Source organism: Homo sapiens, chromosome 7 (assembly GCF_000001405.40).
Source record: "Homo sapiens chromosome 7, GRCh38.p14 Primary Assembly".
NCBI lineage: Eukaryota > Metazoa > Chordata > Mammalia > Primates > Hominidae > Homo > Homo sapiens.
In genome coordinates this window covers 116316944-116329476 of record NC_000007.14, presented here as the reverse complement: position 1 = coordinate 116329476, position 12533 = coordinate 116316944, and the positions used below count along the sequence as shown (strand labels likewise).

General features: G+C 36.7%; 1 long non-coding RNA gene across 5 annotated transcripts in view, besides 3 other annotated features; it reads right to left on the bottom strand.

The window, feature by feature from the left end:
- Positions 1 to 12533, bottom strand: part of LOC105375463 (uncharacterized) — a 51730-nt gene that overhangs the window by 7732 nt on the left and 31465 nt on the right. For all 5 annotated transcript variants that reach the window (XR_001745336.2, XR_001745335.2, XR_001745329.2 and 2 more), the window contains 2 exons: positions 9718 to 9836; positions 6589 to 6675 (listed from right to left, as the gene is read on the bottom strand). This is a non-coding gene — a long non-coding RNA (uncharacterized LOC105375463). The remainder of the gene's footprint in view (positions 1 to 6588; positions 6676 to 9717; positions 9837 to 12533) is intronic.
- Positions 1328 to 1622: an enhancer, noted in NCBI's record as "tiled region #1934; K562 Activating non-DNase unmatched - State 21:Repr". NCBI's record gives its function as "activates a minimal TATA promoter and a strong SV40 promoter by Sharpr-MPRA in K562 cells {active_cell/tissue: K562}" and the evidence as "EXISTENCE:reporter gene assay evidence [ECO:0000049][PMID:27701403]".
- Positions 12009 to 12158: an enhancer, noted in NCBI's record as "active region_26531". NCBI's record gives its function as "activates an Ori minimal core promoter by ATAC-STARR-seq in GM12878 lymphoblastoid cells {active_cell/tissue: GM12878}" and the evidence as "EXISTENCE:reporter gene assay evidence [ECO:0000049][PMID:35858748]".
- Positions 12259 to 12338: an enhancer, noted in NCBI's record as "active region_26530". NCBI's record gives its function as "activates an Ori minimal core promoter by ATAC-STARR-seq in GM12878 lymphoblastoid cells {active_cell/tissue: GM12878}" and the evidence as "EXISTENCE:reporter gene assay evidence [ECO:0000049][PMID:35858748]".

Sequence of the window (12533 nt, the reverse complement as noted above, 5' to 3'; positions counted from 1 at the left end):
TGCTTCCCATGTCACATTATAAACAAGGCCTAAAATAAAATTACTTTAGGGAGGGAGAGAATACACAGCAGTTTTAATTTTCACTAAGGTGGAAATGACTGATATCGAGCCTATTCAATTAGCAAATTGTGATAGCAGACACTAGACATCCCTATAGGTATAAGGAGGACACTCCAGAGGGAAGGACAGCCAGAGAAAACAGAAGGTGGAGAATGTTACCCTTTGCTTTAGAGTCAGCCTGTCTAGCTTTATAGCTGGTTTATACATCCCACAACTTTAGACTTCATAGTTAAGTACCCAGAGTATAGGAGAGTCCTCAGAAGTGGTTTGAATGTGGCTGGGTGTGGTGGCTCATGCCTGTAATCCCAGCACTTTGGGAGGCCGAGGCGGGCAGATCACCTAAGGTCGGGAGTTCGAGACCAGCCTGGCCAACATGGTGAAACTCTGTCTCTACTAAAAATACAAAAATTAGCTAGGTGTGACAGTGGGCTCCTGAAGTCCCAGCTACTTAGGAGGCTGAGGCAGGAGAATCGCTTGAACCTGGGAGGCAGTGGTTGCAGTGAGCCAAGGTTGCGCCACTATTCTCCAGCCTGGGTGACAGAGTGAGACTCCGTCTCAAAAACAAAGCAACAAACAAAATAACACAAGTGGTTTGAATGGTTTCTTATTTCTCTCTACAAACCTTGGAATTATCTTCATTAGGTGAAAAAGGGCAACAAATATATAAGTTTAGCTCTTAATTACATGCTGCAGAAAATGTAAAGAAGTACATATGGTAATAGCCAGTTTTCAATACAGGTAACACAAAAGGAAAGGGAAAGCTAATCTTAAAATGAAATCACCATCCTAATGAATTACCAAAAAGTGTGAAAAGTACTTTTACATCAAATGAAAAAATGTAATCTTTATCAAATTTATTTTTTACAACATTTATATTTATTGATCTGAGGTAGGCTTTTGTTAGAACAAAATTAATAGTAAATACTGAACAATATGTCAGGCATGGGGCAAATTGGTTTCTGTTCTTTACAACAAGCCACTATGACCCTATTAGGAAATGTTTTAAAGGCGTTTCTTAGCATTTTCAACAAAATATTTGTACTCCCTACTGAAAATAGCTTAATATGAAGTCCCAAAGGAATTCTGTCTGCCTCATAAAATTGCTTTTGGAGTTTTCAGTTTCTGGCCTCCTCCTTCCAAATGCACAGTGAATATATGGTGGAGTTTTGTCTAATTCTTTCAGTAGAGGAATTTTGCTACATTAAAATAATTTGTTAATTCATCATTTCCATGGTAAAATAGAAATTACTCACCCTGATTCCTAATACGATCAACATAACTTTGCTTTTCATACATAAAGACATTGGTATGAAAAGGAAGCATTCTCTTCCTTCCATCCATATGCTAGCCTGCTTGAGCGGTCGTGTACTATGACTATGGAAAGCATGACCTCAAATTCCAGCCACACCACTTCCCAGCTGTGTACCGTTCAGCAAGTCACTTGCCCCCTGTAATGACTCAACTTCCTGGTCTGTAAAATAGAATCATAGTGGCCACCACCAGAGAGAATTGCTGAGGGGAGTAAATGAGAGCATGAACGTAGATTGCAGCACAGCGCCCATCATGCGGGATGCTTTCAATAACTGTGAGTGATTTTTTCTATTATTAATTAATGCTTTTCTTGGATTTTCTTAACTACATCATATATTTCTAAAACCAATACTCTCTGTTTTTACTTATAAAACATAAATCTTCCGTAAGTAAATAATTATAGACTGAATGTCAATTCCTGGCCAAGTGCAGGATATACTGAGGCCATTATCTGGTGAATGCAGGGTTTATAGATAGCCTATCTCAATTATTTAGAACCTAAAGTGGACATTAAGATAAATTTTAAACATTTCAAAAACAGAACTGGTTGTCACACAGTTTAATAAGCAAATTTGACCCCTAAAGTCTTTGAATAAATGCAGAGATATGGCTCATTATACATTTAAGCTTTCATTTCTACATGTTAACAATTTACTGAGATAAGCAAATATAAACAAAATGAACACTGTGGGAAAGTGTGTTTGATATTTTAAAACTCTTGTCAAACTAATTAATTCAAATGTGTCATTCAGGCCATTATTAAAAAGTCAAAAAATAACAGATGCTGGCGAGGCTGCGGAGGAAAGGGACGCTTATACACTGCTGGTTGGAATGTAAGTTAGTTCAGCCATTGTGGAAAGCAGTCTGGAGATTTCTTAAAGAACTCAAAGAAGAATTACCACTTGACCCAGCAGTCTCATTACTGCGTATACACCCAAAGGAATATAAATCATTCTATCATAAAGTGACATGCACACGTATGTTCGTTGCAGCACTATTCACAATAGCAAAGACATGAAATCAACCTAAATGCCCATCAACAGTAGACTGGATAAAGAAAATGTGGTACATATACACCATGAAATACTACGCAGTCATAAAAAAATAATGAGAACATGTCCTTTGCAGCAACATGGATGGAGCTGGAGGCCATTATCATAAATGAATTAATGCAGAAACAGAAAACCAAACACTGCATGTTCTTACTTATAATTGGGAGCTAAAGATTGAGTACACATGGATACAAAGAAGAGAACAATAGACACTGGGGCCTGCTTGAGCGTGGAGGGTGGGTGAAGGGTGAAGATTGAAAAACTGCATATCGGGTACTATGCTTTTACCTGGGTGACAAAATAATATGTACACCAAACCCCCGCAACATGCAATTTATCTATAGAACCAACCTGCACATGTATCCCTGAAACTAAAATAAAAGTTAAAAAAAGTCATTCATTAGGTATTAAATTCTGAAAGACCAAACCAAACAAGATGGAAAAAATAGAAACCATCAATGTTTCTGTCTCTACTGGGCCATTTCCATCATCATACAACATAGGACAGTTATCTCCTGTCTTAAACATAAAAATGAATAAATGAACCTTCTTTGTCTCTATGGTCTCCTCCAACAACCACGTCATTTCTCTGTTCCCTTTTAAGACTAAACTCTAGGCCTGTCTTGTCCTAACAACTGTACTAAAAGCTCTCTTATCGAGGTCCCTTAAAACCCCCACATGGCAAAATCCACTGGCATTCTTCATTCTTCATCTTTGACCCAGTTTATTACTTGGCCACTAGTCCACTACTCTATCTTATTTCTTGACCTCTAAACACTGGAATGCTGCAGGTCAGGCTTTGTGTGCTCTCTCTACCTGTGTTCCCTAGGTATCTTTATTCAGGCCTCAGCTTTTTAAATATACCTATAGATGGATGAACCCAAATTAGATCTCCAACACTGAGCAGTCCCATGAATTACAGATTTGTATATTCAACTGCCGCTTTCATATCTTCACCTAAATGAAATACAGGCATACCTTGGAGATGTTGTGAGTTCTGTTCCAGACTACCACAATAAAGTGAGCCACACACGTTTTTGATTTCCCAGTGCGTATAAAAGTTATATGTTTATACTGTAGTCTGTTCAGTGTAAAATAGCATTATGTCTTAAAAAACATGGACATATCTTAGTGTAAAAATTGTTTATTACTGAAAAATGCTCGTGATCATCTGAATCTTCAGTGAGTCATATTCTTTTTGCTGGTAGAGGGACTTGCCTCAGTGTTGATGGCAGCTAACCAGGGTGGGGGCTGCTGAAGGTTGGGTGGCTGTGACAATTACTTAAAGTAAGACAGCACTGAAGTTTACTGTATCAATTGAATCTTCCTTTCACAAAGAATTTCTCTGTAGCACGTGATGCCGTTTGATGGCATTATACTCACAGTAGAACTTCTTTCAAAATGGGAGGAAATTGTCTGAAATCCTGCTGCTACTTTAACAACTAAGTTTATGCAATGGTCTAAATCTTTTGTTGTCATTTCAACACTGTTCATAGCATCTTCACCAGGAATAGATTTGATCTCAAGAAAACACTTTGCTCGTCCGTAAGAAGAGATTCCCAATCTATTCAAGTTTTATCATGAGATTGCAGCAATTCAGTCACATGTTCAGGCTTCACTTTTAATTGTAGTTTCTTGCTGTTTCTACCACAGCTGCAGTTACTCCCTCCTCTGAAGTCTTGAACCCTTCTAAGTTAGTTTTCCGTGGGGATTCGAATCAACTTCGTCTAAACTCCCATTCATGTTAATATTTTTACCTCTTCCCATGAATCACAAATGTTCCTAGTGGCATCTAGAATGATTAATCCTTTCCAGAAGATTTTCTGTTTTCTTTATCCAGATCTATCGGAGGAATCACTGTGTATGACAACTGTAGCCTTACAAAATGCATTTGTTATATTAGGCAACTTGAAAATAGAAATTACTCCTTGATTTATGGGCTACAGGATGGATATTGTGTTGTGTTAGCAGGCATGAAAACAACATTCATCTCCTTGTACATCTCTATCAGAGCTCTTGGGTGGCCAGGTGCATTGTCAATGAGCATGACATGGTTTGGCTCTGTGTCCCCACCCAAATCTCATCTCTAATTGTAATCCGCATGTGTCTGGGGAATGGCCTGGTGGGAAGTGATTGAATCATGGGGGCCGATTTCCCCCTTGCTGTTCTTGTAATAGTGAGTGTGTTCTCAAAAGATCTGGTTGTTTAAAAGTGTGTGGCACTTCCCCTTTAGTGCTCTCTGTCTCTCTCTCTCTCCTGCTTTGCCATGGTAAGAGGTGTTTGCTTCCCTTTCACCTTCTGCCATGATTGTAAGTTTCCTGAAGCCTCTGAGCCATGCTTCCTGTTAATCCTGAAGAACTATGAGTCAATTAAACCCCTTCATAAATTACCCAGCATCAGGTAGTTCCTTATAGCAGTGTGAAAAAGGACTAATACAGAGCAGTTATCTCTGAAAGGATTCTTTTTTTCTGAGCAGTAAGTCTTAACAGTGAACTTAAAATATTCAGTAAACCATGCTGTAAACAGTTGTACTGTTATTCAAGCATTTTTCCATTTATAGAGCATAGGCAGCATAGATTTAGCATAGTTCTTAAGGGCCCCAGGATTTTGGAATAGTCTGTAGTATTGGTTTCAACTTAAAGTCACCGGCTGTGCTAGTCCCTAACAAGAGAATCAGTCTGTCTTTTGAAGCTTACAGGCATTGGCTTCTCCTCTCTAGCTACAATAGTCCTACATAACATCTTCTTCCAATAGAAGGCTGTTTCGTCTACATTCAAAATCTGGGTGGGTGTGGTGTTCTATATATGTCTACTTATTCATTTAGTTAATCATGTTTTTAAAATCATCAATATCATGTTAATTTTATTTTATCAGCAGTTTATTTAGCTATGAGGGGAATATACTAAAGGTGTAGGCACCTTCATCAATGACCTTAGCTAGATATTCTGGATAACTTGCTGCAGCTTCTACATCAGCACTTGCTGTTTCACCTTTCACTTTTGTACTGTGGAGATGGCTTCTTTCCTTACACCTCATGAATCAGCCTCTGCTAGCTTCCAACATTTCTTCTGCAGCTTTCTCACCTCTCTCAGCATTCATAGAATTGAAGAGTCAGGGTCTTCCTCTGGATTAGGATTTGGCTTAAGGATATGTTGTGGCTAATTTGATTTTCTGTCCAAATCACAAAAACTTTCTCCATATCAGCAGTAGGCTGTTTCACTTTCTTATCATTTGTGTGTTCACTGGAGTAGCACTTTTAATTTCCTTCAAGAACTTTTCCTTTGCATTCAAAACTTGGCTGTGTGGCATAAGAGGACTTCCTATTGTGGCTTTCAACATGCCTTCTTCACTAAGCTTCATCATTTCTATCTTCTGATTTAAAGTGAGAGATGTGTGACTCTTCCTATCACTTAAATACTTAGAGGCCATCGTAGAGTTATTAATTGACCTAATTTCAATAGTGTTGTGTCTCAGGGAGTAGAGAGGCCCCAGGGGAGGGACAAAGACAAGGGAACGGTTTTCCAGTGGAGCTGTCAGAACACACTTAACATTTATCAGTTAAGTTTGTCATCTTATATGGGCATGGTTAGTGGGGCTGCCAAACAATTACAGTCATAAAAATCAAAGATCACTGATCACAGATCTCCATAACAGATATAATAATAATGAAAAAGTTTGAAATATTGCCGGAATTACCAAAACATAACACAGAGACACGAAGCAAGCACACGCTATTAGAAAAATGGCACCGATAGACTTGCTTAATGCAGGGTTGCCACAGACCTTCAATTTGTAAAAATTTCAATATCTGTGAAGCACAATAAAGGAAAGTGCACTATAAAGAAGTCCACCTGTATAGGAACTTCAAACCTACTTTGTCCATAATGGAACTCTTGGTTTCCTTAAAACTTTCTCTTCCTAAGGATTTTTTCATCTCAGGAAATGGAATATGTTCTTCTGATCACTTTGACAAAGAAACAAACAAAAGAAAAAACAAAACAACTTTGGAGAAATCACTGTTTTGAACTCATTGTATTTACTTTCTCTCATGTTCCATATTCAATTCACCAGTAAATCCTCTGGCTCTACCTTCTAAAATATCTAAAACTAATTACTTCTCTCCACCTTCACCCCTACCACTTGAGTCCATGCCACCGTCTCTTACCCGATTTATGAAAATAGCCTTCTATTTGTCCTTCCTGAGTCTGCCTTGCCCTTCTCTGGTTTATGTTTAGACAGTTGCCAGAAAGACCTATACAAAATGAAAGTGAGATTATGTTACCCCTCTACAAAAACTTCCCAAAGCTTCTTATCTCACCCTGAAAAGCCACATTCCTTATGATGTTGTTGGTCATGTCTGACAGCATCATCAAATGTTAGGAATCCTTCAGAGAACAGGATAGATGCATTTTCCAGGTTGAGTTAATAGAAACATAATCTGTTAATCTGTAGTGATTTTACAGGAATAAAGTTGTTTATTATATTTTCTCAAAGTCTTTCAACTGTCTACATCAACTGTAGCTATGCCTCCATTTTCATTCCTAATTTTGACTGCTTCTACCTTTTCTCTTCTTTATTAATCTCATCACAATTTAATCAATTTTATTTATCCTCACAAAGAACCATCATTTGGCTCTTTTGGTTCTATTATATATACATTTTTCTATTTAAAAAATTTACCCTGTTTTTCTGGTTTGTTTCTTACTTTTTAGATGGTTGCTTAGCTTGAATTCTGAGCTTTTGTTTTTTTCTAATACCACTGAAATGGAGACATATGCTATTTTAACCATGTCCTGTGAGTTTTTATGTATAATATATTCATTATTATTCAGCTTTGAATATTTTGTAATATTATGATTTTATCTTTGGCTCATGGGTTATTTAGTTGTGGTTTTCTTCTAAACATACTGTGTTTTTTTCTAGTTATCTTTTTGTTTTGATTTTTAACTAAATTTCATCATAGAGAATGTGATATGCATGGCTTAGTTCTTTAAACTTTGTTGAGAGCTGCTTTTGGATCAGAATATGGCCAATTTTATAATATGTTTTCTGTATGTTTCAAAAGTTTTTGTAATTTACATGGGTGGATATAGTGTTCTATATATGTCCGCTTATTCATTGAATCATGTTTTAAAAATCATCAGTATCATGTTAATTTTATTTTGTCAGCTGTTTCTTTAGCTATGAGAGGAATATACTAACATCCTCACTATTATTTGCATTTATTTTTCCTGTCTTTCAATTTTTGGTTTACATATTTAAGGCTATGTTGATAGGTACATACAGGTTTAGAACTGTTATATCTTCTTGAGTTATTAAATGTTTTAGCATCGTGTAGTGATCAGTTTAATCTCCTAATGCTTTAGTTAGTAAATCTATTTAGAGTGATGCTAATAGTTTACTACCTGCCAAGTACTTAGATTTTGATTCATGTATATGATTTATTGAATCATTTTACTTCCAAATGTTCTGAATATTTAGATTTCAAACTTGTCTCTTATAAACTGCTTTGGACTTTTTGTCTTTTGTTCTTTGCACCACATGAAGCTAAAATATTGTAGATCAAATTCATCCTAATTAGCAAATGCCATAAAAATGAAAGTTGGCTGCAGAATTCCACTTACCTTCTGGATTTCTGCTAAAAATGCTTTATGACCCTGTCAGTTCAATAATTATTTTTAAGAATATATATTTACTCAGGATTATTAGCTTGTTTCAGCAAGAGGGTTGATCTAGATAACTTTCCATATTACAACAAATTAAAATGCTAAAATTTTAATACATTAAATTTTATGATTTAGTTTTAAGATGTGGTAATTCATGTATGTTAAATAATTTTCTTATTATGGATGACATTTTAATTTTTCTTCATGCTTTATTAAGATACACTTTACATAAATAAATTTACCTGTTCTAAGGTATAGTTCTGTTTTGTGTCCCTATAGTTTTGCTTTTTTTCAGAATGTCATACAACTGGAATCAAGTAAAAGTATGCAATCTTTTATTTTATTTTATTTATTTTTGAGGCAGAGTCTTACTCTGTCACCCAGGCTAGAGTGCAGTGGCACGATCTTGGTTCACAGTACCCTCTACCTCCCAGGTTTAAGCGATTCTCCTGCCTCAGCCTCCTGAGTAACTGGGATTACTGGTTCCCGCCAGCAGGCCCAGCTAATTAGCTATTTTTAGTAGAGATGGGGTTTCATCATGTTGGCCAGGCCAGTCTTGAACTCTTGACCTCAAGTGATCCACCTGCCTCAGCCTCCCAAAGTGCTAGGATTACAGGCTTGAGCCACCATGCCCAGCCAGTATGTAGTCTTTTAAATCTGGCTTTTTTTGCTTGGTATAATGCACTTGGCCATGTTGTGTCTATCAGTAGTTCATTCCTTTTTAATCCTGAATAGTATTCCATTGTATGGATGTACCATAATTTGGTTATCCATTCACCTGTTGAAGAACATTTGTGTTGTTCCAGTTTTGGAAGATATATAGAAAAGCTGTATAAACTTTTCTATATCTGCTTTTATGTAAATAAAACTTTCATCTTTGAAGTGGCAATGCTAGATTGTATTGTAGGTAAATACTTAACTCTTTAAGAAGCTGCTAAACTGTTTTTCTAAAGTGACAATACTATTTTGCATTTCCATTAGGAATGTATGAAAGTTTCGCTTTTTCTATGTGATCATCAATATTGTCAGTTCTTTTGATTTTAGTAATTGTAATAGGCATGTAGTAGTATGTCATTAGGGTTTTTCATTTGCTTCATAACTAATGAACTCAAGGGTCTTTTCATGTAATTATTTGTTATATGAATATCTTCTTTGGTGAAGTGTCAACTCATGTATACCTACGTAACAAACCTGCACATTCTGCAAATATATCCCAGAACTTAAAGTAAAATTTTTAAAAAGTGACCAAACGAAAATAAATTTTGTCCTTTTTGTATTACATTGTTGTTTTCTTAGTATTGAGTTTTGAGACATCCTTATATATCTTTGTTATAAGTTCTTTATCAGATAAATGATTTGCAAGCATTTTCTCCCATTCTGTGGCTTATTTTTTCAAAAGGTACAATAATTTAATTTAGATTTCACTTTTAGGTATTGATCCATTTTGAGTTAGTATTTGTATGTAAGGTATGCTTTAAAGATCTCTCTTTCTTTTGTTCCTCCTTCCCTCCCTCCTTCCTTCCTCTCTCTCTTTTTCTCTCTCTGCATATTGTCTTAGTTTACTAGTGTTGCTATGATAGAACACCCAAGACTGGATAATGTGTAAAGAACAGAAATCTATTTCTTACAGTTCTGGAGGCTGGGAAGTCCAAGGTGTCTGCAGATTTAGTTGTCTGGTGAGGGCCGTCCCCTGATTCCAAGATGGTGCGTTGTTGCTGCTTACTCAGGAGAGGCAGAACACTGTGTCCTTATATGGTGGAAGGCAGAGGGCAAGAGGGTCAAATGTTGAGTGAAGCTCCTTTTATGAGGGCCTTAATCCCACTCGTAATGGGAGGAGCTCTCATTACCTAATAACCTCTGAGAAGACCCACCTTTTAATGTCACTGCATTGGCCATTAAGTTTTAACACCTGAATTTTGAAGGGGACATATTCAAACTATAGGACATGTGGATATCAAATTGTTTCAACACCAATTGTTTCTGCACTGAATTGTCATTTCCCATTCAGTTTGATGCTAGCTATAGTATTTTGGTTATTTGTTTTTTAAATGGATGCCTTTATCAAGTTAAGGGAATTCCCATCTATTCCCAGATTACTGAGTGCTGTTCATTCTATCATGAATCTATATAGAATTTTGTCAATTATATTTTCTGCACCTATTGAGATGTTCGTCTGTTTTTTATATGGTGAATTACGTCAATTTATTTCCAAATGTTTGCCCTGCACTCTCATAATAAACCTCATTTATTCATGATGTATTATTCTTTCTATATGTTGTTAAATTTCATTTGCTATAATTTTCTCAAGGTTTTTCGTACCTATGTTTATGTGGGATATTTAATGTTGTGTAGTTATCTTTTCTTGTAACATCTAGATTTTGGGTTAAGGTAAGGCAGCCCTCCCAGATAAAGTGGGAAGTATTTCCTTGTCTTAAATTTTCTGGAAGAGTTTGTGTATAATTGGTTTTATTTATTTACTAAAGGTTTGGTACAATTTAACCATGAAAACTTTGGTGCCTGGAGTTTTGTGTGTGGAGGTTTTTAGCTATAATTTCAATTTCTTAAATAAATGTGGGGCTGTTCTGGTACTCTCTTTTTCCTCTACCTGGGATTTCCTCCATTCATTGCCTACCCCTCCCTCCCACTCAACAAGAGTCACTACTACAAGTCCTTTCAGATCAGCTCATCTCTCACTTTCCCAAAGCTTTCCCTAACATGTACCCCTTTTTCAAGGTTTCCTCCCTTATGCCAACAACACCCTGTGCATGACTACTATTGATTTTATAGCAGCATATAGAGAATATTAAAAATTCTCTATATGAAAATTTTTTCTATTTGTGTGTTTTCTTTCCCAACAGACTATACAATTGAGGACAAGAACTATGTCATTTTTATTATCATGTCCTTGGTATCTATACAAATAAAACATGGATTTACACATATTACACACTGCATCTATTACATAAGCATGCAATGAAGATATAGGTTCATATGTGCATATATATGTATATTTACATTAGATATGTATATACATACTTTAACATACATGTAACTGTATACTTTATGTACTTATATGTATATAAGTAATTCACCTATATACGTATATGTAAAAGTCATATATGATAGTCATATATATGTAAAAGTCTGTTTTTGCCAGTTTTTTAAAACAAAAATCATCAGCATCATAATTTATTGAAGTCGACTGCCCTTTCTTAACCTTATGAGATTTAAAAAATGTTTGGAATTTTTTTTAAGCCCATGAAGTTTACTCTTGTGAGGAAAGCCAGGTTGAGGGCAATGGCATTTCCACATTTTCTGGGGCTTAATTGAAAGAACATAGAGAGAGGGCTGGGTGCAGTGGCTTATACCTCTAATCCCAGCACTTTGGGAGGCCGAGGCTGGCGGATCACCTGAGGTTGGGAGTTCAAGACCAGCCTGACCAACATGAAGAAACCCCATCTCTACTAAAAATACAAAATTAGTCAGGCATGGTGGCGCATGCCTGTAATCTCAGCTACTCAGGAGGCTGAGGCAGGAGAATTGCTTGAACCCGGGAGGCGGAGGTTTTGGTGAGCTGAGATTGCACCATTGCACTCTAGCCTGGGCAATAAGAGTGAAACTCTGTCAAAAAAAAAAAAAAAAACTATATATATATAGAGAAAGGTATGTATCAAGCCTGTTAATGACCACGGGCCATCTGTGTAGTCACACAAAAGTGTCTAGTTTTCTTCCACATTTCTATGTGTCTTCTTTAGCATTTTCCTTTCTAAAAAACAGGCTCTATAACTGGGCACACTTGAACCCCACAATTAGTCATGGATGTGGTGATTCATCAGGCTGGCTTCTAAGTGCAAGCAGCCCTGGCCTTTCTAAGCCTTGACTGTTGGCAACTCTTTTTTCCCCGCTCTGAATCAGACGTGTATTTGTTTGAGTAATCAAGAAAGAACTGTCTGTCTTGTGACCTTAGAGGCTGGTGAAAGGGAGCAACTGAGTGTTTTTGGCACAGGAAGGTTAGTGAACAATGCAAATCTGTAGATCAGAGAGCACGCTGCTTGGCTGCTGACTCTGGGCAGACTTGAATGTCACAGAATGCTCTGATTGCCGGCAGGGTTTTTCACCCTCTGCCGAAAGCCATTTTAATATAAGCAGAATAGATTTCAGGTATTCCAGAAACCATTCTTAAACTTTCACTGTGTTCATGTTGTTAAATTCTATACCTTCTATTAAGACTTGCAGTCTTTCTGAAATGAGCATTTTGAATCTGACTGTGATAAGAGCCAGTGAGAGACAGCTTTACACATGGATGCCACTGGGAAGAAAGCACATCAAGTAACCCTGCTGAGGAATGAATGAATCAGCCTAATGCAAATTAGGTGAGAAACTGGACCGCACAGAGGGGATGTTGAAACCATTTTAGAGATGAGTGAGAGGGATGATAGCCAGT